Source organism: Homo sapiens, chromosome 10, assembly GCF_000001405.40.
Source record: "Homo sapiens chromosome 10, GRCh38.p14 Primary Assembly".
NCBI classification, from domain to species: Eukaryota; Metazoa; Chordata; class Mammalia; order Primates; family Hominidae; genus Homo; species Homo sapiens.
Window position 1 is genome coordinate 116,842,025 of NC_000010.11, and position 27,933 is coordinate 116,869,957.

At 43.4% G+C, this 27,933-nt stretch overlaps 2 protein-coding genes across 8 annotated transcripts in view, besides 1 other annotated feature; one reads left to right on the forward strand and one right to left on the reverse strand.

Annotated features, from left to right (window-relative positions):
• Positions 1–8,723, reverse strand: part of HSPA12A (heat shock protein family A (Hsp70) member 12A) — a 179,556-nt gene extending 170,833 nt beyond the window's left edge. For 2 of the 3 annotated variants that reach the window (NM_001330164.2, XM_011539579.3), the window contains exon 1: positions 7,542–7,698. In NM_001330164.2, the coding sequence (NP_001317093.1) occupies positions 7,542–7,544 (3 nt within the window). In that variant the 5' untranslated portion in view covers positions 7,545–7,698. Of the gene's footprint in view, positions 1–7,541; positions 7,699–8,066 lie in introns of those variants that run through there. The other variant, XM_005269673.6, reaches the window with a different exon arrangement.
• Positions 6,122–6,291: an enhancer, noted in NCBI's record as "active region_4095". NCBI's record gives its function as "activates an Ori minimal core promoter by ATAC-STARR-seq in GM12878 lymphoblastoid cells {active_cell/tissue: GM12878}" and the evidence as "EXISTENCE:reporter gene assay evidence [ECO:0000049][PMID:35858748]".
• Positions 7,475–27,933, forward strand: part of ENO4 (enolase 4) — a 62,877-nt gene continuing 42,418 nt past the window's right edge. For 4 of the 5 annotated variants that reach the window (XM_006717835.4, NM_001242699.2, XM_011539797.4 and 1 more), the window contains exons 1-8: positions 7,475–7,707; positions 13,599–13,727; positions 14,468–14,658; positions 16,966–17,114; positions 18,770–18,939; positions 19,035–19,166; positions 20,775–20,828; positions 26,626–26,682. In XM_006717835.4, coding sequence (XP_006717898.1) covers positions 7,543–7,707; positions 13,599–13,727; positions 14,468–14,658; positions 16,966–17,114; positions 18,770–18,939; positions 19,035–19,166; positions 20,775–20,828; positions 26,626–26,682 — 1,047 coding nt within the window. In that variant the 5' untranslated portion in view covers positions 7,475–7,542. The remainder of the gene's footprint in view (positions 7,708–13,598; positions 13,728–14,467; positions 14,659–16,965; positions 17,115–18,769; positions 18,940–19,034; positions 19,167–20,774; positions 20,829–26,625; positions 26,683–27,933) is intronic. The other variant, XM_047425228.1, reaches the window with a different exon arrangement.

Sequence of the window (27,933 nt, forward strand, 5' to 3'; positions counted from 1 at the left end):
CCTGTAGAAATCATCAGTTATAAGGCAGAGGCAGTCTTTTGATTTTGCTAATAACAAACAGATAATTCCTCTTAAGCAGATTAACTTAAAGTACGTTTTCAAGGAAGTTAAAATCCCCTTAAATCAGGTTCTCAAGTTTAATTACAAAAGTCAAACAATTTATTAATACTCATTCAAGTGCAGCAACAAAACAGGCACAAAAGTCTCAGGGGCCAGGAAGCAAACCCAATCGATATTTACAAGAGTCACAGAGAAAACATTTTTTTGCCATAACTTGATAAAACATCTAACTGGTCCTCTTAACTAGGATTCTTCCTCTCTCTTCTTTGCTGCCCCCTATGTGGAAACTACCTTTAACATTTTCTTCACTCACAATAAGTACAATCATATTGTTTATTTTGCTATTTTTATATTAATAAAAGAAGTACAAATTAGAAAACCTGGCCTTTTAAAGGTATTTTATAGGTATCCTTTTGCTTTATTAGCCCTGTAGTTATGTTACAAAAATAGCTTTAAGCTGTGGCTACTTCTATAAAGTTAAAAAATTATCTATTTAAAAATGGCAAAAGAGTTTGCTTAAAGAGTTTGTTTTTGTTTTTGTTTTTGTTTTGAGATGGAGTCTTGCTCTGTCGCCCGGGTGCAATCTCAGCTCACTACAACCTCTGCCTCCCGGGTTCAAGCGATTCTCCTGCCTCAGCCTCCCAAGTAGCTGGGATTACAGGCACCCACCACTGTGCCCAGCTAAGTTTTGTATTTTTAATAAAGTCGGGGTTTCACCATCTTGTCCAGGCTGGTTTTGAACTCCCGATCCACCTGCCTCAGCCTCCCAAAGTGTTGAGATTACAGGCGTGAGCCACCACACCCAGCCAGCCAAAGTTTCTTTTGCTCGATCTTTTCCTTTTCTCTTTACTATCTGAACTCACTGAATAATTACCCTACTTCCAGTTTCATTCTGCCCATATAGAAATTGTGTGTCTAGTCCCTGAAAAATACCAATTAAACTGCCAGCAGTAGCATCTTCAACAGTATCTTTTGGTCTTCAGTGTCAAAGGCCTTTGAACAAATGACTGGAAGGCTGAATCTAAAACAGCCTTTGACAGGATGCCAGCTTTGAACACTCACATTTTGACTATGGCTCCAGCTTTCTATTTATGTGGGAAGCAAGAGTGAAACAACACAACTTCACAATTTTGCGCAAATGCTAAAGGCTAAAATTAAAGTGATACATCACCAGGAGGCATAATCACCTCAAAAGCTCACTGATACTGTTTTTAAAGGCTCCCTTTTAATTCAATTCAGTCTGGATTCCAGTGTAAAGCTAAATAAAGGTTTTCAGACAAATACTGCAAAACTGCTAAAATACTACATTTTCCTTTTCCTTCATTTTCTTGGTCATAACACCACCATTTACTGTGTGTTAGCCACAGCAGAAGGAATCTGACATGGATTTTTTAAATGTCATTTCCTAGCAATTCTATGAAATTAAAAATATTAGTCAGTGAGGAAATGGGCTCAGAAAGGTCAAGTAATTTGTAAAAGGTCACACAAGTGGGAACTGGAAGAACCAGGGTTAGAACTCAGGAGCTTTGATTTCCTAGGCCTTGTTGGCTTCATCCATCAACAAACCATTCCTGGGGGAAGGCTTCATCATTCTCTTTCTGACCTAATCCATGGAGAAATCTTTTGGAGCAGCGGTTTGCAACCTTGGCTGCATATTAATCATCATATATTTTTAAAATGTATATGCATGGGCCCCACCCTCTGGAGATTCCCATTTAATCGGTCTGGGATAGGGCCCAATCACCAGTATCATTCAATACTGTAGCAATGATTAAAATAAACAATATGTCTCTTCGTGGTGCTTAATTTCTAATGGTGCTTAGATTCTAGTAGAAGCTAATAGAACCTCCAGGTGATTCTAATGTGTGGCTCAGCCCAAGAACCAATGATCAAGACACCACTTACTGAGAGTTCTTTCTTCAAGACCTCCAAGTGAGCAACTCAACTGACTCCTCCAAAGAGAATGGACAAGAGTCAAGCAACAGCTAGCATTAGTGGAACCTGAGAGAGTTCTAGCTTTGAGAGGCAGTGGAGCACAAGGGGAAATACATGGACACTGGTGTCACCTAGACCTGGATCAAATTCCATCTCCCCTATTTATTAACTGTGTGACCTTGGGCCAATCACTTACCTTTTGTGGCTGTTCTGCAGATTCAATGAAATGATGTAAGTAAACCTCCAGGCATACAAAAATGCCCAATCAAAGGTAGTTGCAACTGTTGTTTTGGCTGGTTTTGTTATTACTATTATAGTGGTAATGACTACTGCCAGCAGACATCGATGAAGAAAAAAACAAATTTCAAAAGCCTCCCCATTTATTAGCCAGATAATTCCTACTTTTATTACTTAGCATTTAATTTACAGCTATTTATATTTGCAATTAGCTTGGTAATCATATTTCTTATTCATGACAACTGGGTGAGGAAGGTTAATGTTATTATTCTGATTTTCTAGATGAGGAATCTTATTTCCTATGCGTGATGACTGAGTGAAAATAGTTAACATTATTATTCCCATTTTCTAGATGAGGAAAAAGCAACATCTTCCATCTATTGTCTCTAGTTTCTATGATTCCATGATTAAAGGGACCTGCAGTCATGTTCATTGGTTCCCTATGAAAAATGATATTCAACAGAGATGTCAAGTGTGGGAAAGAAGAATTAACAAGCACTTGATAGCAACCCCAAAATAACATCTAAATAATCACTCAGGAACATCAAAGTCATGGCAAACAAGTTCCATTTTAAATAAAGGTGTTGGACAGGATTAGGGAAAAAATGAACAAATACGTCTTTATTCACATTCATTTAGGAAATATCTGACATAGCTTAGAAATTCTTTTTGAAATGCAGACTGAATAAGTGTTAACTTCCTCTATGAAGGGTCTTCAGTTAGCAGATTGCAATAGATTATGTCCTGATATTTTATCTTAAATTAGAGTTATAAAGTAGGAGAGATCCAAGATGGAAAGACCCAGTTCAGGGGTTCTCTAAAAAGGCCACCAGGAAGCCCGTGGACTCTGTGAAAGGGGCCATCACTCCAAAGACACCAAATACTCCCCCAACACTGATGGCTTGCCCATAAATGTATCCCTTTTCATATGCATGAAATTTCCATGAATAAAAATATAAATGCCTCTAGAAACACCACTAAATTTATAGTTATTATATATAACTACTATTACATTGAGGGAGGGGCTGAATTTTGTTATTGTTGTTAAAAGGAGACTTCATATTCGAAAAGCTTAGGCAACTCTAGCCCAGTCCAAACATCTCTTTTTACTGACATAGATGGATCTTAGGGGCAACTGGGATTCCACCTTAGGTTTTCTCATTCCCAGACAAGTGTTTCTTGTTGCACACCATACACGCCTTCCAATGCAGTTACAGACTCATGGAATGTTAACAATCATGACTAGATCCTCTCTCTAATATCATTTCCTCTTTCTGAAGCAGGAGAGTACAGTCCTACCCTCTCTCCGTGGATATGTTCCAGGAACACTCTAAATCTCCTGAGCCTCTTCTTTCCCCTTTCTTCCCTCCCATCGTCAGCTCCCCAGTTTGCTAAGTTTAAGGTTAGCAATACACTCAACCCTTCTCAAGCTCAGAGATGCTCTGGAAATGCCCTAAGACATTTAATCTCAATATGAAATGGAAATGCAATCACCGAGGTACTAAAACAAAGAATGTGTAAAGTATGCATAAAATCTGCATATATATGAGTGTATTTATAGCTAAAACCCCACAAATATTTCCTAATATCGATGAAAAATAAGGAAGTGGAATATTCATGAATAATCATGTTATTTACCTGGATCTGTCAATACCAATCAGCTGTTAATAAACCCCTTGCACACCAACTTTTCAAAATGGTTTCACATTTATGATTTCACTTTCTCTTGATGACTCACTCTGATATAAGTGCTACTGGAGTGTCACTGGAACTTAAATTCCATGAAGAGAAGGAATTTATTTTATTCACTGTTCTTTCCCCAGTGCCTAGAACAGCATCTGGCACGTGGTGGCATTCAATATTTGTTGATTGAGTGAATGACAGAAGCTGACTGGGATGGTAGTTTCTATTTATTGATTGATTTTTTGACTTAATGTAGTTTCACTTTTCTTTGAGAAAATTAAATGAGTCTATAGGGGAATAATTGAGTTCCTAAAACTTTCTTCTTAAAGTCTTCATCCTATTATAACTGTAACATTCTTCCCTCAAATATTGTTAATGTAATTTTTCTTTTCTTTTTTTTTTTTGTTTTTTTGTTTTTTTGTTTTTTTGATGCAGAGTCTCGCTCTGTCACCCAGGCTGGAGCACAGTGGCACAATCTCGGCTCACTACAACCTCCGACTCCCAGGTTCAAGCAATTCTCCTGCCTCAGCCTCCCGAGTAGCTGGGACCACAAGCACGTGCTGCCATGCCCGGCTAATTTTTGTATTTTTAGTAGAGACAGGGTTTCACCATGTTGGCCAGGATGGTCTTGATCTCCTGACCTCGTGATCCGCCCGCCTCGGCTTCCCAAAGTGTTGGGATTACAGGCGTGAGCCACCGTGCCTGGCCTTGTTAATGTAATTTTTCAAGTTTATGTAAGTAATTCATTCATTACAGGAAAATCAGATACTATCAAAATATGAAAAGAAGAAAATAAAAGGTCCTGGTGATCCCATCACCTTGGGACAACACAATTAACATGCTGATGTATATCTTTTCAGACTTTTTTCTATGCAGTTCTACAAACACAAACACATATATATGAAACATTCCCAAAAGTCTCTGCCCTAGACTTTGTGATTTTGATTTTTTCCTTCTTCTCTAAACCCTTTTTCCTGAGGTAGCTCCTTGCCTTCCCTTTATGTCCTAAATCTATTCCTTCCCCAAAATTTAGGTCCTACTTCAAAACGATTTTCCCCCTTTGCCCTCCAAAGGATTCGTCTGTTCTTACAACTTTGAACTCTATGTGGATGTTGTCTATCAGGATCTTCAGTCCTCCCTTTTCTCTGGGATACCAATGCTACTCAAGCTCTACACATCTAACACCCAATGCATCATATCGCCTCCATCAAAACCAGATGACGCACTGATCCTATTTCCGTTAACTATCACAGAATTCTACAAGGTAATCTCAAAAGCCATCTTTGCTTCCCCAACTCCACCACATCCAACCACTCAAAGCCTTTTACATCCCTCCTTCCTATTCTCTCTCACTCATCAATTCCCATGGTTGCCATCAGTGTTTAGGCCCTTGCACATATACTATTTTCTGCCTCTGTCTCTTGTTTTCTGTATAACAAAAACCCATCAATGCTACCCACTGCTGCAAGTTAACTTCCTAAAACCCCACTTATTTCTTGCCCTTCCTATATTCAGAAATTTGTGGTTGCTTCCTTCTCTTACAAAATGGGATTCCAGCTTCTTCATAATCTCACCTCAAACTACTTTTCCACCCTATTTCTCATTATTCCTGAAAAGAAACCCTTTGCTCCAGCCAGGTTGGTGTACTCATTACTCACCCACCTCCAAAACATCTGATTGTGAGTTAAGTACTTATTAACCATTTATTATGTGTAAAACCCATTCAATCACTCAACAAATATTTACTGAGCAGCTATTCCATCAGGTAATGTAATGATGCTGCAGACACAGTGGCGAACAAGACAAATCAAGTCGCTGTCCTCCTGGAACTGAGGCAAATGGGTTATAGGGTTATAGGGGGAGACTCTTAAGACATGGTGGTCCCAGCCCAGGATACTCGCAATCTTCCATTGAGATGTCAAATGAATCAAGACATCCCTGAGGGCTGAACTTTGTGGTCCAGGCTGCAAATGGGGAAAGAGTTCAGAAGGAAGGGCTGGCTGGAGTGAGAGCTGGATTGTGGACGTGGCTTCTTTGATGTGGGACTCAACCCAGGCACTCAAGGATGAACATAGGAGAGAAGCAGGTGCCTTTCTTCCAGGGGTGTATGAGGAAAGGCAAAAAGGTGAAATGGAAACAGCAGCAATAGTGTCAGCTTATTTTGCATAAGGGTTCACTCAACACCTATTCAGCAGAGCACATCCTCTGCCCTTGCAGGGCCCCAGGCTCCGTGGTGGATGTGAAGGTAACACAGACTCAGATTCTACCGTCAGGGGATTTCCATCTAGCAAGGAGAGAAGGCAGGTTCATGATGGTCCATTACACACAGACAGTGAGACGTTCCGTAAGAGAGCAGAGAGAACACGGAGGAAGTTTGGAAGGTGCATGTCTGGGTTTGTGTAACAGTACTTATAGCATCACATTTTTATGCATCTGCACCCATACGTGCATGTATTGAAAATAACTGTGTTTCAAAGTGCTTTCTCACTCACTTCCTCATTTTGTACTAAGTGACTCGGGAAACAGGCAGAGGAGGTAAGATGATGTTTTCCAGAGGGGGGAAAGTGTGGCACAGATCTTGTAACTGATCTGCTTAGGTAGGAAACATAAACAGGCGTGAGTGGAACAAGAACACCCTGTCCGTCGCCGCCCACTCCTGCAGCAGAGGAAGTATCTAGAACTGAGGACGCACACTAAGTTCTGTAATCGCATGATACCTGGCAGGTACAATGAAGCCAGGAAGGCACTTCGGATTGAAAAGGGCAAGGACATAGGCAGCATTCTGGAGAGGGAACGTGAGCCAAGGCCATTCCCCCATTTCCGTTTTACCTCCCCAAGTCCTGCCTGAATCATCCCCCATCCTTAGGTCTGCCCAAACCACAACCATCCCTTAGGGTTCACCCCAGATATTTTCAACCCACACTGGTTTTTTTCATTCCATTGATTTCACCCCCACTAATATCCCAGAGAAGGGCAAGTGGCCGTTTCTCTCCTGGACATCATAGCAGGCCCAGCCAGCACACGGCTCGGCTCAGAGCAGGTAGTTAATAAACATGAGCCGAATGAAAGAATTCCTGAGATCGCCACCGCTCAGTAAGGATGCCCTGAGCCCCTACATCCCTCCCCCAACAGAGTGGGCCTGCCTGGCACGGGCGGCCTTAGCAACCCGGAGGAGCTCACTAACAGCAGAGAGCAAGGGGGCGCGTGGGGAGGGCGGGGTGGCCCAAGACGCTGGGCCACTGGGACCCGAGCGCGCGACCCCAGCCGGAATTCGGAGCTAAGGCTGCCGCGCTCCGGCAAAACGCGCTTGATGAGGTCGTTAAAGATTTCCCCCTCTGGAAAATCGCCAGGGAAAAGTGGTGAAAAACGAAGCCGGGAGGGCCCTAGTCTCGGGAGTCTAGGAGGAGCCCAACCCCCGGACCTAATGCCGCAGGGAGAAAAGACAGAGCAGCGAGCGCAAATACCATCCTAGCTCCAATAAAAGGGAACGACTTTTACCGCAGGAAGAACCTAGGCCTGGAAGCCACGCGAGATCTGGGGGTCGGGATCACGTTGCGTTGCCTAGCGACAGCAGGGACGCTCGTGGGACCCCAGGCTAAACCCCGCTGTAGCCTTAAATCTCCTACCATGGAGGAAGAAGGCGGCGGCCGCAGCTGTGGGACCACTAGGGAGCTGCAGAAGCTGAAGCAGCAGGCGATGGAGTACTACCGGGAGAACGACGTTCCGCGCAGGCTGGAAGAGCTGCTCAACTCCACCTTCTACCTCCAGCCTGCCGACGTCTACGGGCACCTGGTAGGGACCTGGGACAAGCGCTCTCCTCCCGCCAACCCCTCTCCCCCCGCCCCGCGCTGCGGCAACGCCTTGCGCCTGCGCCTGCGCCTCAGAATCTCGCATGCCAGCCGCCCGGGCCCTGGGCCTGCGTGTGCGGAGGAGACTTCTGGAGGGAAGGAGCGGGAAGGACACCCAGGGGTGAAGGGATCTCCCCAGAGAAAGTGGCAGAAAGGAGGCAGCTGGAGGAAAGAGGGCGCTAGGCGTATTTGACCTGCAGCGGCAGCCCAGGGGCTGGCAGGCTTCCTCGCTGCCTAAGAGGCCTCTCCGTTTGTGGGCCGGCCCACCGCCCATGCTTGCCAATTGTCATTTTTAACACATACCTTAATGCCCTCAGCTCAGCTCACCGACCTTAAGCAGCTCCTCTTTGATCACAGGATGAACACCTTGGCGTTTGCTACAACTTGGCTTCAGCCTATTCTGGGGCCTCATCCTACTGGCTCCTCTGCCGGGATGCCAGTTAATATCTGACCAGCCCCGCCCTAAACTCCAAAATTCAGACCAAAGCCTTGCCCACGTAGCCCTGGACCAACCGTCCTTCTGGGTTCCTACAGCATTTCCTTCGTGTATTGTAGTCTCTTGAGGCAGCCTCCCTAGGCAGCCTGTGAGCCCCTGCTGGGCTCAGAAGCCTTGTCTTCTCACCTTCCGGGTCTCTGCCCAGCCCTGAGATCTGGCACATACCTTAGCGTTAAGCAGTGAGCAGCTGAAGCAAAGACGTTTTCTCCCTTCCAGATCTATAAGTAGTAAGGAAGGCAGTGTGGCTGGGGCCCCTAGGAGTTTGCACTATGGCAAGGCAAAGCAAGGAGGCAATGTGAACACCAAGCAGAAGGAGTCCTATGAAGAGGCAGATGTGCTGTCAGGGTGCAAAACCACGTCGTATTGAGGCAGTTGATATAAAGGATGTTCCGCGAATGACTTTTTCCCACTCATGGCCTATACTATCAAAGGGGAGAGGTGTGGGGTTTACTGAGCCCCTTGTGCTGCGTACTGTAACTCAATCCTCAGTACCACTGCGACGAGGTAAAAATGATGATTCCCATTTTACAAATAAAGAACCTGTGGCCAGTGCAATTTAAATGATTTTCCCAAAGGACATAGTGACAGAAGAAAAAAAATCAAACCACATTTGTGTCCCTAGTACCCAGCAGAGTGCATGGCACACAGTGGATGCTGAGAAACTACCTGCAGGATGAATGAGTGAATGCTTGACTCTCATTCCATTCTCTTCCTACTATCTGTTGCTAGAGGAATTCTTGAACACAATCTATTCTAACGTCCTCATTTTACAGGGACACCAAGTCTTTGTCTCACAGCTACTTAGTGTACAAGCTAGGACTAAAAACATGGACTCTTGTTCCCCAGTATAATGATCTTCTTATTCTATTAGGCAGCCAGGATATTCGTTTGTACAGCTCTCTGGGAACTTACATCTTAGTTTGGGACAAAAGTCACTAATACATAAAATAATTGGAGCAAAAGATAAGGTGATAGATGACTGTGTGCTAGATTGAGGGGCAGATCCCTATATGCCTATTAAAGGAATTCAGGGATGGAAAAGATCCTTGGAGGCTGTATATCCAGGAAGGCTTTGGCTTGGACTTCGAAGGATGTTCAGGAATTGCAGAGGCAAAAAAGCAAACTCCTTGAACCTGGGAATCGGAGGTTGCAGTGAGCCGAGATTGCACCACTGCACTCCAGCCTCGGCAACAGAGCGAGACTCCGTCTCAAAAAGAAAAACAGAAAAAAGCAATCTCCTTTTCCTTTTCTTAGTAACTGCCCTAGTTTTGGCCGTGCTTACTCTCACCTCGTCTCTCCCTCTATCTAGTTCATCCTGCAGAATGCTGCCAGAGCAGTGTCCTAACATGCAAGTCTGACCACACTTCTCTTCCTCAGAACCTCCTGTGGCTTTCCCGTGCTTGCTGGCCTTCATGTGTGTGGTTCACAGTGCTCAGCCCCTCCCTCTGGTAACAGGCGCATCTCCCACTCCCTGCCCTCCTCCTCTACACCGAATCACTGACTGTTCCCCAAAGCCAGAAGTTTCCTACCTCCCTCCTCTTTGCTTGTCCCATTCTCTCTCCCTGAAATATCTGCTCACCACATCTCCCCCTTGACTGGCACTGAAACACTATACCTCCTCCAGTGTTCAGCTCCAATGTCATTTCTTCTGTCCCTCTCCAACATTGATATGGCTTGGCTCTATCCCCTCCCAAACCTCATCTTGAATTGTACTGCTCATAATCCCCACATATGACATGTGGGGAGGGACCGGGTGGGAGGTAATTAAATTATGGGGGTGGTTACTCTCATGCTGTTCTCGTGATAGTGACTTCTCATGAGAGCTGATGGTTTTATAAGGGGCTTCCCCGCTTCACTTTGCACTTCTCCTTCCCGCCCTCATGTGAAGAAGGATGTGTTTGCTTCTCCCTCCACCATGATTGTAAGTTTCCTGAGGCCTCTGCAGCTGTGCAGAACTGTGAGTCAATTAAACCTCTTTCCTTTATAAATTACCCAGTCTCAGGCAGTCCTTGATAGCAGTGTGAGAACAAACTAAGACAGACATATTAGAGGAATTCACACATGGTAAAGATCCTTGTAGGCAATAACAATACAATTTATTCCATCATCATAAAACTGAATGAGAGAGTTTTGGACTGGGAATGTGGCAGATCTGGTTTTGATTCTTATCTCTGCCACTTCCTCACTGTGATAGAGTTACACTGATGGTCCTCCAAGAAACTACACTTCCAGTGTGAACACCTTTTTGTAAGTCCCTCCCACACTGACTCTGGAATTGGCTATGTCACTTACTTTGATCAATAGGACCTTGACAAACACGATACAAACAGAGAGTTGATCAGTGCTGGCATATGGAAGCTTGTCCTCTTGGAATCTAGTCATCATGCTGTGAGGATGTCCCAATTACCCTACTGGAAAGAGTGAGGTTGTGTAGAGAAAGACCTTGGCAGATACGAGACCCCTCAGGATATCCTGTGAGAAAGATAGATGCCCAGCCAACCCCTCACTGTGCCAGCCATCCCAGCTACGGCACTGGACATTGAGTGAAAACAGCTTGGATATGCTGGCTCCTGTCAAGCCTCCAGATGATTACATCTGCATAAGGGACTCCAGAGAAGCCCAGCAAAAGAATTTCCCAGTTGAAGCCCCACCCAGATTACAGGACCATGAGCAAGTTAATGGTTTAAACCACCAAGGTTTGGGGTGGTCTGTTACAAAGCAGTAGATAATGGCCGGGCGCGGTGGCTCACGCCTGTAATCCCAGCACTTTGGGAGGCTGAGGCGGGCGGATCACAAGGTCAGGAGATCGAGACCATCCTGGCTAACACGGTGAAACCCTGTCTCTACTAAAAATACAAAAAATTAGCTGGGAGTGGTGTCGGGCGACTGTAGTCCCAGCTACTCGTGAGGCTGAGGCAGGAGAATGGCGTGAACCCGGGAGGCGGAGCTTGCAGCGAGCCAAGATTGTGCCACTGCACTCCAGCCTGGGTGACAGAGTGAGACTCCGTCTCAAAAAAAAAAAAAAAAAAAACCAAAGCAGTAGATAATGAAAACATTAGCTAAGTGATCTTGGACAGTTAATTTTTGTGGAACTGTCTGCCCATCTGTGGGATGGAGATGATATCACATAGCTTAGAGAGTTGAATGTAATGACATAATGTATATACAGTGCCCAGGGATGTCACTGACATTTATTAATTTATACGAGATTTAATTTATAGAATCCTATATATGTCAGGCCCTGTGGTTTGAGATATAGTGATAAAGAAGTCATTCTTTCACAGCCCATATTAAGCACTTCAAAAATGTTAGTTCCTTTCCTCTCCTAACACAACACGCGGCACATTATAGGTGCTTGGTGCTTGTTAAACTGAACTCACTATAACACACAGAGTGTAAGCTAAATAACATTTTTGCTCTCCTGATTCTAAATTCATTTAGGCACTTACTCTGTAACATACAAACCACCATTTAAAGAATCCACGGATAGCTTGAAAATGAGCTCTTGCTTAATACTTCTGGGGCCCCACCTCTGAACTGGCATGTCGCTGTGGGTATTAGATGACCTGTTGTCCAGGTTGAAGTCACTGGATTTTGAACTGAAAGATCAGAGACCTGGTGTCTGCTAAATGAAAGCAAAGCCCAGTCCTATCTGGTAATCAAGAGAGCAATAAAGGTGTGCCTTCACCTTCCCTCCTTCTAGTCTCTCCTAGCTCCTGCTCCTCTGCACAGAAACACCTTCCTGAGCGTTTTCTTGCAGGCTTCTCGAGTGGGCTTTCTATCTCAGCTTCTCTTTCTTCAGTCTCCTTCTTAGATCACTTCCAAATGGCTTCTGCTTTTCCACCTCAATGAAACTGCAATTACTAAGGCTCCCAACAAGCCTCCTTGAACACATAGGACTATGAATGAGCTGATGGTAAGATACAGCCGTCACGTAAGTCTTCACCACTAAAATATCACGTGCCTTGCTGGGAGGAATAAAAATGAGCCCATGTGCCGGGCGCGGTGGCTCACGGCTGTAATCCCAGCACTTTGGGAGGCTGAGGCAGGCGGATCACGAGGTCAGGAGTTTGAAACTAGCCTGGCCAACATGTTGAAACCCCATCTCTACTAAAAATACAAAAGAATTAGCCAGCCGTTTTGGTGCACGCCTGTAATCCCAGCTACTCGGAAGGCTGAGGCAGGAGAATCGCTTGAACCCAGGAGGCAGAGGTTGCGGTGAGCAGAGATCATGCCATTGTACTCCAGCCTGGGTGACAGAGTGAGACTCTGTCTTAAAAAAAAAAAAAAAAAAATTCAGCCCATGTCAGGTTTCTGAAATTTGAATGCGTCATGGTGTTCTAGAGACCAGTTGGTTTCTGTATCTTGAAACAAGGGGGCTGGGCACAGTGGCTGACACCTGTAATCCCAGCACTTTGGAAGGCTGAGGCGGAAGGATTGCTTGAGGCCAGGAGTTTGAGACCAGCCTGAGCAACATAATAAGATCCTGTATCTACAAAATGTAAAAATTAGCCGGGTGTGGTGGCGTGTGCCTATGGTCCCAGCTACTCGGGAGGCTGAGGTGGGAGAATCACTTGAGCCTGGGAAGTTGAGGCTGCAGTGAGCCGTGATGGTGCCACTGCTCTCCAGCCTGGCTGACAGAGCAAGACCCTGTCTCAAAAAAAAAAAAAAAAAAAAAAAAAAAAGAAAGAAAGAAAAAGAAAAGAGGGATAGCTTAGGCAACTGAATTGACTATAAGAACGCCTGCTAGCCTGTAATCCCAGCACTTTGGGAGGCCAAGGTGGGTGAATCACGAGGTCAAGAGATTGAGACTATCCTGGCCAACATGGTGAAACCCCATCTCTACTAAAAATACAAAAATTAGCTGAGCATGATGGCGCACGCCTGTAGTCCCTGCTACTCGGGAGGCTGAGGCAGGAGAACTGCTTGAACCTGGGAGGCGGAGAATGCAGTGAGCCGAGATCACACCACTGCACTCCAGCCTGGCAACAGAGTGAGACCGTCTCTGTTGAAGAAGGCCTGCTAATCAGTGACACAGGGCCTTTTAATTAAGAAACGTATGCAAGTTTCTGTTGAGAGTTCAACATACACCAAATTGCCCCACATACCAGAGACTCAGGAGTGGGCTGAATCCATATCTCGGTATGTAAGGGCAGGGCAGTTCTCACAGAACTGCTAGTCTAATCCTGGCATCAGGAAGAATACTCGCGGAGAGGTTTGGTAGAAACTAGAGTCAATGTGAATGACCTTTTGAAGATAAAGTAGATATGGTATTGTGACTTTTTTCCCCAAACAACAACTTGAACCAGATGATTTTTGTTCTTTTGTGTGTGTTGAAGGCAAACTGCTTTTCTAAACTTGCAAAGCCTCCCACCATATGCAAAATAGTGGGGAAAGACGTACTAGATGGACTGGGGCTTCCAACCCTGCAAGTGGACATATTCTGCACCATTCAAAACTTTCCCAAGGTATGAGGCAGTTTAAGTGTGTTCTTTAATGTCCTGGCCCCACTGCATTTATTAGCAACACTTGTCTAAGCTGTAGAAAATTATTGTTTTGAAATTCAGTGTTTGTGAAATATATTTCATAGGTAGTCATGTAAGCATGAATCATACCATCAACCATGATGGCTTTATTATGTTTAAGTGTAATTTTGATACAGACATGACATGCTAACCTGAGGATGATCCAACATGGATAATGGAAATGAGGCAAAAATAGTTTATAAACTCTGACATTACTCATGTGATAGGTTCTATAAATCTACATGTAGGTTTATAGATTAGTCTATTTACCTAGACATTTATAGATGTTAGACTGACCTAAAGAAAGAAAATAATTTACTTTAATAATTTTAACAATTCGTTTTAATTCACTTTGCTACATATTTGTTAGAAATAATTTTTGCCATAGTCTCTGGTAGGAGAATAATGATGATTAAGTCTGATTTTTATTGTTATTTATTGGAGAGGTAGTGATAAAAATGAAGTTTGATGTAGGGTTTTTCTAAGGGTATTTTAAGTGTTCTATGAAGCTGAGTTCCATAGTGTTTCAACAGCTATAAAAATATCTCAAAGAAAATTATATATTCTCATTGTCCCCTTGAAATTGGTGGTAAAATTTCATGCATGTTAAAAGCTGGATTCATTTAATTTCCTCTTTCTGGGAGAGGTAGGGAAAGTGTTGAACACATTTATATGATTTTCAGAACGTATGTTCTGTGGTGATCTCGACTCATTTTGAAGTCCATGAGAATGCTCTGCCCGAGCTGGCCAAGGCGGAGGAGGCAGAGAGGGCCAGCGCGGTGAGCACCGCCGTGCAGTGGGTCAACAGCACCATCACGCACGAGCTCCAGGGGATGGCACCCTCTGACCAGGCAGAGGTGGATCACCTACTCAGGTACAGTTTCCACTTTGAAATATAAACATCAAGTACAAGCCGGGCACAGTGGCTCACGCCTGTAATCCCAGCACTTTGGGAGGCCGAGGCGGGCAGATCACGAGGTCAGGAGGTCGAGACCACGGTGAAACCCAGTCTCTACTCAAAATACAAAAAATTAGCCGGGCATGGTGGTGGGCGCCTGTAGTCCCAGCTACTCGGGAGGCTGAGGCAGGAGAATGGCGTGAACCCGGGAGGCGGAGCTTGCAGTGAGCTGAGATCGCGCCACTGGACTCCAGCCTGGGCGACAGAGCGAGACTCTGTATCAAAAAAAAAAAAAAAAGAAAATCAAGTACAAATATACGTCCATTATCTTTCCATTTCACCTGCCAATAAAATGGGTCTGTCAAATCTATAGAATTGGGAAGTCAGTTTACAAAGCGTATGTGAAAGCAGCAACATTTAGCATAAAATTTGTTTTTCTCCTGAAAACCATGTAGTTAACACCTTACTATGTAACACTACATAGGGCTTTTCGGTCTCTTTTCATGTATAGAGCTTTCCTAAGACTTAGTAAAAAGCTTCTCAGAAAAACAATCCGATTATGAATCCAGAGGATGCCTTTTTCTTCTCCCCACCTGTCACATGCCACCTGTGAGCTCCTCATATCCTTTTATTTAGTCACAACAGCTGACACTTACATTCAGTCCTCCAGCCACAACTAAGTCTCCCATGCTTTGCCCATAGGTTGACTCAAACACGCTAACAAGGAAGCATTTACTAGGGCTATGGAAATGTTCTTCATTCCCCAACCAAGTAGTGAGTTAGAATCATTTTCCTGTTTGTGCAGGTCCAATGCCACAACCCTTTGGCCAATAGAAGGTCAATTGGATTCTCTTTTCTTAAGCTTTATCACTTACTTAATTGTATATAACATTTTAGTTTGCTTCAGAGTAAGATAATGACCTTTGTAACAGAAACTTTTTTTTTTTTTTGAGATGGAGTCTTCCTCTGTCACCCAGGCTGGAGTGCAGTGGCATGATCTCGGCTCACCACAATCTCCACCTCCCAGGTTCAAGCGATTCTCCTGCCTCAGCCTCTGAGTAGCTGGGATTACATGCACTTGCCACCATGCCCAGCTAATTTTTTATTTTTAGTAGAAATGTGTTTTCACCATGTTGGCCAGGCTGGTCAAGAACTCCTGACCTCAAGTGATCCACCTGCCTCGGCCTCCCAAAGTGCTGGGATTAGAGGCATGAGCCACTGCGCCCAGCCAAGAAACTTTTTTGAATAGTTTTGGGTTTTCTTGGAGTTTCTGAATGCTATTCCTCTATTCCTTTTTTTTCCCCCTTCATGTGCTGTTATCATTTTCTTAGTTTATTATTTTTTTCTCAAGCTCTCAGTTACATCTTGTATTTTATTACACTCCTTTTTTTCCTGGCATTTTCCCTCCCCAAACCACCCATCTGGACTGGTTCTTCTGTAGACCAACTACAGAGATGCCATAAAAACCTCATTGTTCTCCTGTTTTTGGAACCCACATTCTTTTCTTTCATGATTTGCTGGATTGTATCCTTTAAAAGTAAGGATGAGAAAGGGTATATGGGATGTAAAGTTTCTTAGTTATTTTATGTGTGGGAATGTTGATACTTTGCCCCCATGGTTGATAGTTTAGCTGAGTATAGAATTCTCTGTTGAAATCAATTTCTCTCATACTTTAAAGGCATTGCCCTACTGGCATCTGGATTATTAATACATCTGATACAAATCTGATTCCTATGTCTTTGTTTTTTATTTGCCTGGTTTTTTGCCTATAGAAGTTTTTAGCCTCTTTATTTTGGGGTGCTGAAATTTTACATAAATGCATCTAAGTGGGATTTCCAAAAGTTTTTTTTAAATATTAACCCTAAGTGTCAAGAAAAAAGAAAGGAAGTCCTCTCTATTTATATGCTATATTTCACTCTATTCTTGACACATTTGTTTTCTGATGGTCATTTATACAAAAAGAAAATACTGTAACCCACAATAAAATTACATCTTCAAGTTTTACTCTAAAAATGCAAACCCAGGGCGCTCAAATAATTTAAAAATGAGCACCTGAAATCTTTAAACATTTATTTCCATGCCAAAATGAATTTCAGTTCTTGAATGCAGTTTTATAACAGCATCATTGTTTACTGGCTTTGAAAATTAAAGTTGATTTGTTCTTAAGTAGCTGAAAAGCAGTTATTTATTGAAATATATGGGGTCATCTCTAAAACATGACCAAAATCACAGAGTGATATTCCTAAATATCCCACTGTAAAGCCATATTTTCTTGCTATTAAGGATATTCTTCGCAAGTAAAGTACAAGAAGATAAGGGGAGAAAAGAATTGGAAAAGAGCCTGGAATACTCAACAGTGCCTACACCTCTACCTCCAGTACCACCACCACCACCCCCTCCACCTCCTACCAAAAAAAAGGGGCAAAAGCCAGGTTGGTTGGTGACTTATCTTGCAGAGTCGTTAGTAACAAATGTGTGAGGAAGAAAGGCTGAAGCCTGGACTGCCTTTCTGAGTCTCTTGGCTACAGGCCTACTTTGGGCTCACGGCTAAAAGCCATCCATCCTATGCCACATCCTCACTCAAAGATTTTGCCCCCATCCCACTCTCCTTTTTATTTGTAAAATAAAACAGTTTCTCACCCAGAGGTGATAAATACTTATTATTAAATAAGGTGCATTGAGCGGTGCCAAATTGGGGGTAGAGTGGGAGGGGATGGCATGGGAGACCTTTCACCTCCTTTCAAAATTTCCATTAGCTAATCCAAAAGCCACTCCATATCTTAGAGTTTTGATTCCTTTGATATGAACAACCAACATTTTCTCAATCCTATGTAAAATAAACATTTTCTTTATGAAACTTTATTTTAAAGCAAATAATAGAAATTATCACTTCAATTTGCCCTTGCTCCATGCCTTCCAACAGATTGCTAACCTCAGCCCCTGCAGTACTGTTCATTCTGGAGCTGCTCTTGGTATAATAACAGGGTTTTGTATGTCTGCTGAACTAGAACGTGCTCCTTGAGGGCATGAATCATGTTTATTCCACTTGCCATTGCCCGTATCTAGCATGATGCCAGGCACGAACCATACACCCAAATAATGTGGGTTCCATTGAGTAAGAAAGCACCAGAACCAGGAAGGGACCAAAGAGACCAGGGAGGCAGGGTACCTTATTTCATAGATCCAGATGCTGAGGCCCAGAGAAGTGAAGAGATTTGCCCCGAGACAAAATAATTATGTTTGAGCAATCTTCCCATGGGAGGGTGGGATGGCCACTACTGAGTTATAAGTAGAGACCAACATGGATGTTCGTTTGATGGTTGCTTTTGACTAATAGAATGTGGAACTTAAGGGAAGAAGTGGGAGGGCACAGCTATTTGCTAAGCGCTCATTAAGCGTGAGGTGCTGAAATATCTTATCTCCACTGGGGACCTGAACCACATCCGCAGCTGTGAAGGAACGGACAAGAGGAACACTAGAGATATATGATGGACTCTGTCCGGACCTCATGAGACAGGGAGGCTGAGAACATATTCTAGTGAAAGATGGGTAAGGAATGTGGGTCAATGATTGGATCTGAAAGGCACTGCTAAAGAACGTAAATGACACAGAACAAGGCATTGGTTTGGTGTTGGTGAGAAAGACAGCAAGTTAGATATATTCATGCAGAGATGTTCAGCAGAAAGTTGAGTGTGCAGCAGCTATGGTGAAATATAGAAAAACAAATGATTTGAAATTTCAAGACAGTTCAAATCCTCTATCTACTTTCTGTTACATGTTGGGCAAGTCTTTTAACCCCTCTAAGCCCCAGTTTATGTATATGTAAATGTAGAATAAAAATATCTACCTCATATGATTGATGAAGGAATTAATATTAAATGGCCTAAAATGTCTTAGACAGGCAAAATCCATGGCTAATGATTATTTGAGAATCTTAAGCAAAAGCAAACAGAAAACTTTTTGGGGGTTGAGGTAGAGCATTTGTTGTTCCCAGCCTCGGCTTTCATCCTTTCTTTTTCCTGGGTCTTTCCATCTGTAAGTAAAGCATTTAGAAATACAGTCTTACTCTCAATATTTCTCCCTCCAGGGAGGAAGGATACTATTACAGAGAAACCTATTGCGCCTGCAGAGCCTGTTGAGCCTGTACTCAGTGGCAGTATGGCCATAGGGGCCGTGTCACTAGCTGTTGCCAAAGCCTGTGCCATGCTGCTTAATAAACCTCTGTACTTAAATATCGCTCTACTGAAGCACAATCAGGTTAGTATCTATGAAGTTCCATTAAAAGGAGCCATGAGTATCTCAATATGGATGAACCCTGTTTCTCATTTTCCCTCGTTTTCCCCCTATTTCAGGAACAGCCAACAACGCTATCTATGCCTTTGCTGATGGTATCGCTGGTCAGCTGTGGGAAGTCATCATCTGGGAAGCTAAATTTAATGAAAGAAGTGATTTGTATACCCCATCCTGAATTAACAACCAAACAAGTACCTTACATTATCTTAAATTACCTTTTCTAAAAAAAAAAAAAAAATATATATATATATATATATACTCCGTCATTGATGAACTTTTAGTGGGGAATTAAGGATAAAATGAGAAAAAAAATATTTTAGGAAATCAGAGAAGTGGGAAGAAAGACCTCAAACCAAAGGGAGCACATGCAGAGCAACTTAGATGTCTGGTTTCATTACAGCACTGGCTCATGCTGTTGACTCACAGACAAGCCATGGCTGAGAAACTCTGCAGACCTAGAAAGTGCTGGAAGGTTGTTATTTGGGGGCATCTTATTTACTCTGCACTGTGCCCTATGGCAGCAGCAAGTGAAAGCTAGCACTTCCTAGCAGCCCACTCTGTTAAGTAAGAACTCCAGGACTTGCCTGGCACCTATGAGACTTTTAGTGCATATTTGTGGAGTGAATAAATCTCAAGTTGCAGGTTCACCACTCAGAGGTGTGCAAGGATCTATACTACTCCTCAGTAGCCTGAAAGAGTCAATATGCCTCTTTAAATCATGATGACCAAAGGTTCATGATCTATAGGAGATGCTTTGTAAAAAAGTACAGAAAGCTTTCCCCAAGCCCCCTCCAGTAATAAGTTGAGTGATAGTTTATCTTAGTGGAAATCAGTAAGAAAAAAAAAATCAAGATTTTTCATGATAAAGAATTCTTTCTTAAAATAGTTATTGCCTTACAGTTTATCAGTTGCAGAAGAATACTATTTATATCTGGCTTATCATCTGTCAGATCGTATTCAGATCCTGGTGTCAGGATCTTTCCTTTAGTTAGTATCTGTTGAGCTGTTTGCATACCAGAGCACGAGGAATGCCATTCTTTATCAGGTCTTTGTATGTAGATCTCATCATCACAACATACTTTTCTACTTTTTAAGGGACAGTAGATTTATACTGATTCAGCCACTCTAATCCAGACTACCTTGGTGATCTGTGACATGTATTGTGGGAAAGTTATCTAGGCTGGCCAGGCATGGTGCCTCACGCCTGTAATCCCAGCACTTTGGGAGGCCAAGATGGGAGGATGGCCTGAGGTCAGGAGTTCGAGACCAGCCTGGCCAACATGGCAAAACCCCGTCTCTACTAAAAATACAAAAATTAGCCAGGCATGGTGGTGCATGCCTGTCATCCCAGCTACTTGGGAGGTTGAGGCAAGAGAATTGCTTGAACAATTCGGAGTTTGCAGTAGGCCGAGATCATTGCCACTGCACGCCAGCCTGGGCAACAGAGTGAAACTCCATCTCAAAAAAAAAAATAAAAAAGAAAAAAGAAGAAGAAAGTTATCCAGGTTGGTCCAGAGACCATAAAAGAGGATGAAGCTAACTTGATCCAAGCAACTGAACCAGTCAGTTCTGAAAGGTCGAAGAGAGGCTACTGAGGGAGAAGAACCTCTCATTCACATTCAACCCAATGAAAACTGGGGCGAAGATTAACATTTAATCTACTGATTTTGTAGAGCATATCATCTGCTAATCAGGGACTCTACAAATACTCTGAGTTAGAAATAGCCACGTGTTATAAGTTTTTATACTTAAATTTTCTAGTCTGCAACTGTGGAAGATCATGGTTGTTCTACTTACAGGGTGTCGAGATGCTTATGGAAATGCAGAAACATATCAACAAAATAATTGAAATGGTATGTAAAGAGATTCTATGTTATCTAGTTACTGACACTTAGACACCTTCTAGCATGCAACTTGTAGTTCATTTGGACTTAAATCAATTGTGGTTGATATGGAGAATGTATTTATTGGCTTTGGGTTTCCCCCAAGAACCAAGTGTATCCATGTCCTCAGTGGCTATGGATCCAGCCTCTAATGGTACTTAACAATCTCATTTCAATTTCTGGGGCAACTGGCTTTGTGCTAAGATCATCCCTTAGGATTTACTAAGAAAGAAAGGATGTGGCCCCCACGATATGAGAGGCAGCTTGATGGAATGAAGGCAGAGACTCTTGTGCCTGCATTAGGATCCTGGTGTTGAGCAAACAAGGGCCCCTGGCAGAGCAGCCCTCTTAGGGGCAGTCACAGACGCAGGCGTATGAGTCGCCAGTTGTCCCATCATGTTCTAAATGGGCAGTGCACAGTGATATGGAAGGGCTGAGGCCAGGAGAGGGACCCAATCCTTGTCTGTGGGGCTTCACACACACACACACACACACACACACACACGCACACACCTTTTATTTTGGAATACCTCTCACCCAGTTTCCCCCAATGTTAATGATATATTACATGGTACATTTGTCAAAACTAAGAAACCAAAATGGTACACTACTAATAACTAACTCCAGACTTGATTCAAATTTCACTGGTTTTTCCACTAATGTCCTTTTTCTGTTCTAGGATCCAATCCAGGATCCCACATTGCATTTAGCCTGAGGCTTTTAAGCTGCATGATTAGGAAGCAGTAGGGCTGAGGACCCAGTAGGATGGGGCTGGGATACAATAGCAGTGTAACATGGAGGCACTTTGGTTTTAACTCTGTCTCACCAGCACAGAGTGTGACTGCAGGCAGGGGGCACGGGCCCCTCCCCTGCCGCGATGGTGGTTGGCTGGCTGGGGCCCAATCCCTGCAGTTGATCAGAATTGCTTCAAGCAATTCCAGGCTGGAGCTGGTTTCCATGGTGCTTTTCAGGAGGCCAGCTTCTTTTCTGGGTGACCAGCCTGTAGAGACTCAGACTTCGACAAGTTAGCTCTGATGTTGCACTCTGCTTTGCCATTCATAACTCCGTGACCTTGGGCCAATTCCATAGTCTCTCTGCCTCGGGTTCCTCATCTATAAAATGGAGATGATCAGTACCCAAGTCATGAGGGTGACCGTGAAGAGTAAACAAGTGTAATATCAAACACGCCGCATCAGGAGCCGGTGCCACAGGAAGCCATACCTGGTGTTGGTTCTGTCAGAGCAGGTGAAGGAAACCCACCTGAGCATTCTACAATTCATCCTTCTAAATTTCTTTTAAAAGTTTTTCAGCTGGGTGCGGTGGCTCATGCCTGTAATCCCAACACTTTGGGAGGCCAAGGCGGGTGGATCACCTGAGGTCAGGAGTTTGACACCAGTCTGGCCAACATGGTGAAACCCTGTCTTTACTAAAAATACAAAAAAATTAGCTGGGCATTGTGGCAGGCGCCTGTAATCCCAGCTATTCGGGAGGCTGAGGCAGGAGAATTGCTTGAACCCGGGAGGCAGAGGTTGCAGAGAGCCAAGATCGTGCCATTGCACTCCAGCCTGGGCAACAAGAATGAAACTCCGTCTCAAAAAAAAAAAAAATTTTTTTAGAATTTTCTTGAATTCTAAAATCTTTCCTGACATTTTGTCTTTTAAATGTTTTATTTACTTTGTGATTACACAAGTAGCTGATGAATGTTCTTGTGAAAATTCAAATACTGATAGAGCTACCCTCCCACAACCACCTCCTACAGACTGCCACCCTCAGCACAGTCCCTTCTCTAAAGGTAACTGCCGTTAAAAATTGAGTGTGGCCTTCCAGCCTTTTTAAAAAAATAAATAAGTAGATAGGTCAGGCGCAGTGGCTCACACCTGTAATCCCAGCACTTTGGGAGCCTGAGGCGGGCAAATCACTTGAGGTCAGGAGTTCAAGACCAGCCTGGCCAACATGTCAAAACCCCGTCTCTACTAAAAATACAAAAATTAGCTGGGTGTGATGGTGCACATTTGTAATCCCAGCTACTCGGGAGGCTGAGGCAGGAGAATCACTTGAACCCAGAAGGCAGAGGTTGCGGTGAGCCAAGATTGCACCACTGTACTCCAGCCTGGGCAATAGAGTGAGACTCCGTCTCGGGGGGAAAGAAAGATAAATACACAACAGAGAACAGTGTTTAAAATAATACAACAAATTATGCACAAATCATTCTGCAAATTGCTTTACTTCTTTGCCCTTTTCACTGAGGTGTTTATCTTTTATTGATATCTAGGAATTCTTTACATAATAAGGGATTTACTCTTTTATTTTATTAATTTATTTTTTGAGACAGTCTAGCTCTGTCACCCAGGCTGGAGTACAGTGGCACGATTTCGGCTCACTGCAACCTCTGCTTTCCGGGTTCAAGCGATTCTCCTGCCTCAGCCTCCTGAGTGGCTGGGGTTACAGAGCCCAGCACCATGCCCAGCTAATTTTTGTATTTTTAGTAGAGACGGGGTTTCACTGTCTTGGGCAGGCTGGTCTCGAACTCCTGACCTTGTGATCCGCCCGCCTCGGCCTCCCAAAGTGCTGGGATTACAAGTGTGAGCCACCACGGCCAGCCAATTCTTTATATACGGTAGACCTATTTTCCTGTATCATGTTGCCTGCCTTTAAATTGTATGATATGGAGTCATACCGATTTTTAAAATTTTTTGATGAAGTGAAATGTAGCAATCTGTTCTTTTAAGGCAGTGACTCTCAACCAGCAGTGATTTTGCCCAGGGGACATTTGGCAAGTCTGGAGACATCTGTAGTGGTCTTGGCTTGGAAGGAGAGTTCTGACCGCATTTTGTAAGCAGGGATCAGAGCTGCTACTGAGTGTCCTGCAATGTACAGGGCGGCCCCCACAGTGGGGTGATCCAGCCCCAAATGTCAATAGCGCCAAGGCTGAGGAAGCCTGCTTTAAGGCTGTTGCTTTGTGTGCCTTGTTTCATAAGGGGCTCCCTCTTCCTGGAATACTAATAATCCACAAGTATTTTTTTAAGTTTACTACGTACCATCCTGAGTGCTTTAATACTTTAACTCATTCAATCTGCATAACTGTATAGGTAGGTACTATTATTACCCCTATTACATAGATTAAGAACCTTGGGCCCAGCACTCACCCAAGACCCCCAGGTCGTAGGTGGCCAAGCTGGCATTCAAACTCAGAATCCATGATCTTAATCAGATGCTAAACTGCCCCCAAATCACAGAATATGTTTTCTTCAAACACTTTTATAGTTTCAAAGATTTATTTATATCTTAATTTCACCTGGCCTTTATATCAATAGTGTGAAGCAGGGATCACATTTCTGTTGACTTTCCATGTGGTGTTACACGTTTGGAAGCTGCAGTGGGATTCTTAGTAATAGCTCCAACTAGTTCATTCATGTTTGAAGGAAAAGCAGTAAAGCACTTAGAGAAAGCTCAGATATCAAAAACCATCACTATGCTGTCGAAGTCACAAAGTTTAAGTTGTTAAAGATTATGTAGTGTAGCAGAAAGAGCACAATCTTTGAAGCAACAGATTTGGTTTCTATTATGGTTCTGCACTTAGGAGCTGCCACGGTGAGCCTCTTACATATCCTGTCAATGCACTGGTTTCCTCATCTGTACAACTTTTAAATGCCTGTCTTGGCCAAGTGTGGTAGCACATGCCTATAATCCCGGCACTTTTGGGAGGCTGAGGTGGAGAGGCCAGGAGTTCAAGACCAGCCTGGCAACATAGCGAGACCTTGTCTCCACAAAAATTAGTCCAGTGTGGTGGCATGCATCTGTGGTCCCAGCCACTTGGGAGGCTGAGGTGGGAGGATTGCTTGAGCCCAGGAGTTTGAGGCTGCAGTGAGCTCTGATCATGCCACTGCACTCCAGCCTGGGTGACAGAGGGAGATCCTGTCCCATTAAAAAAAAAAAAAAATCCTGTATGGGAGGAACGCTGAATTGCTGGGCTCCTAATAAAGGACACCTATTGATAGCCTAGTAATTGAATATAGAAAGATGTTTAATCCTTCCCAGTGATTACAGTGATAACAGATCATTCCCAACATTACCGCGATTCTTCTATTAAGTCTTAATTTAAATCTATTTTGAGAAAAAAATGCTGAAGAAATGGTATGTTTTCTCATGCAGGCCCCAACCCAAAGATGTCTATAGATAACCTTAGCTAAAGCCACGGTCTTAAAACAGGAGATGATAGGAGTGGAACCAGGGTTACTGCAATCACCATGCTTTGTTTTAGTAATAGAGTGATAGTTCCTGATGACATCATTTGGCTGGTGGCAGAGATTAGTAGATTACATCATGCCAGATTTATTTTGGCATAACTCACTCTCCCTAGGAACTCCTGAGTTGCCTAATTCTTATTAAGGAAAGATTATATTTGTTTCAGTTTTTAGCCATTTTTAAATCCACTTAGTCTGAGAACAGCCATTCTAGAATACATTGCATTTTTTATGATTAAAAAGGCTGCCAGCCTGGGCAACATAGTGAGACCCTGTCTCTACAAAAATATTTACCAAAAAAAAAAAAAAAAAATTAGCCAGGCATGGCGGTGCACGCTTGTTGTCCCAGTTACTCTGAAGCCTGAGGCAGAAGGATTGTTTGAGCTCAGGCGTTCGAGGCTGTAATGAGACATGACTGTGCCACTGTACTCCGGCCTGTGTGACAGAGTGAGACCCTGTCTTTAAAAGAAAAGGGGTAGAGGTGGGGCTGGAGATTTTGACTTCCATTATGTAACAGCTTATTCTTAGTAAGGTAGACAGAAAGATGTCACAGGTTGTTTTTTTCCCTGGTTATTTTTTGCTGTTGCAAGGCCCTGTGCTAGGTGCAAAAGGGGAGAAAAACATACTTCCTGTCCTCAGGCAGTTTAAAAGTCTCAATGAGGGAGCATAAAAAACATGAGAAATCCAATAATAATGCAAACCAAGACTGTTCTTTAATGTTTGCCATTCTGAATTGGAGCCAGTAATCACTATTGTCCCCCGATCACATCACATGACTTCCCTTTGCCCTTCTGTTCAGGGTCACTGTATGTGCATATACTTGAGTGTGAACCATACCTATGCTTGACAATCCTGCCTCAGTTTACAGAATCAGTACACGCTGAGCATCCTTTAAAAGATTAGATCCTTGCAATAATATGCACCCAATACCCCAAATGTGGGAATGCCTCTTTGGGAATTACCTTTGCTTTTAACCTCATGACACTACACCCACCAGATTCACCAGATTTAATGACCTTTGACTGTTTCAAATCAAAGTCAAAACCACCCTGCAGGAGAAAGTGTTTGCACTCTGAGAATATTCAAAACAATATGTTGGGCCTGTAAAAGCAAATCCCGCAGTGGGGTTAAGCCCTAAGGGCAAGGAGGGGACTTTGTATCCTCCTGCAGAAAAAGGGTGCCTGCACACAGCAGGAGTTCATGATATATGTGTGAATAACACATTATTTATATGCATAGAAATGCATGAATCTGTACACACACCCCATATATGTGACTGGGGGCAGAGGGTAAGGATGAACTAAAGGAAACACATTCCTGAATTTGAGAAATAGTTTGTGGCATATAAAGTAGGGAGTGGCTGGAATCATCCCTATGTGCATGAGTGCGTGTGTGTGCGTGTATGTGTGCACACGTGTGTGAGATTCAGTGTTGCTGGTCAGGTCTCAGAGCAGTAAGCTTTGCTTGCTGCCACAGCCATGCTAAAAATTCCAGGTGATACATTTTTATCTTCTGCCCCACAGCCCTCTCCTCCAAAAGCAGAGACAAAAAAAGGGCACGATGGAAGCAAAAGAGGTCAAGTAAGTCTATATATTGTTTACCATCCTTCCATATGACACTGTCTATAAATTTCCTGCCCCTTTTTATCTTCCATAGTCACTTTTTGCTCCAAGACCAGGACTGAGGCAAATGGAAACCATATAGTGATATTGCTCCAGACACCCCCAGAGCTGCAGTATCATGCTGCCCCTGCCTTCCAGCAACAGGCTGCCCGACCATCGCTGGCAGCAGCTGTCTGACCATCTGGAATCTCACAGGGCTAGGAAGCATTTATGAGACGTAGGGTTACACTGGACCCTATAGGGGAAGTGTTTGGGAAGTCGAATCTCTCTGACAACTAGCTGAAAGGCACATAGGATGTTTTACATTTTATTATTAACAAAGAGAAAAACAAGAAGCACAAAAAGATGGCTATTCCTTCCATCTGGTCCCCCAAAGGCACTGAAGCATCATTTCTGACGAACCATTGCAGGAACTCCGATTTTGCCAGGAGAGTGAGGCGAACAGCCCTCCTTGTCAAAACCCGTTCGCTGGCTTCAGGAGCCTTGGGAGACCAGCTGAACTTGATCTGTCAGTCACGTTGGTGATTGTGAGTGCGCTGATAGATGTATCTATTATAGCCTAAACTTTCAACAATATAAATAGAAGAGCCAATAAGAACTTTGAAGAGCATGCACATGGGTGAAGGTTGCTCGCATCTGCAGTATTTGCTTTGGTTTGTGAGCGAACAATCTTTGCCCCACCCTGATGTTAGGTACATGAGAGTCAGCTGAAGACAAAAAAAAGAGGGGCTAGGAAAGAAGGGAGAAGACATGGCAAAGATAAAAAAGTGAAGTTTCTTTTTAAGATCAGGAGAGAGAAGAGAAATGTGTGAACACATACAGCGGTAAGTAAAATCCTGTCAACAGTTTGTATATGTTGGAATGAGCACAGCCTTCTAATATTAGGCCTTGCAAGAGGTGGAGATGGTAAACAAGCCACCAATTCTCAGTGCTGTGCCTTCATCCCAGCAGGTGGTTCTCTGCATGCTGGGAAACTTAGACCAACATCAGCCTTCCCTGTAATAAGCTTTACTACTACTTTTTCTTTTTCCCATTAGAAACAGTCTAGAGTATAGATTCCAGAGAGGCAGCCACACAAGAATTAGGGGTATAAACTCTGGTGCTAAATTGCCTGGATTAAAATCTGGTTCAACTTAGTTAACTCCGTAAAATGGAGATCATAATATCTTTGTATGATGTAAGGAGTAAATGTATTTACTTTATGTAATG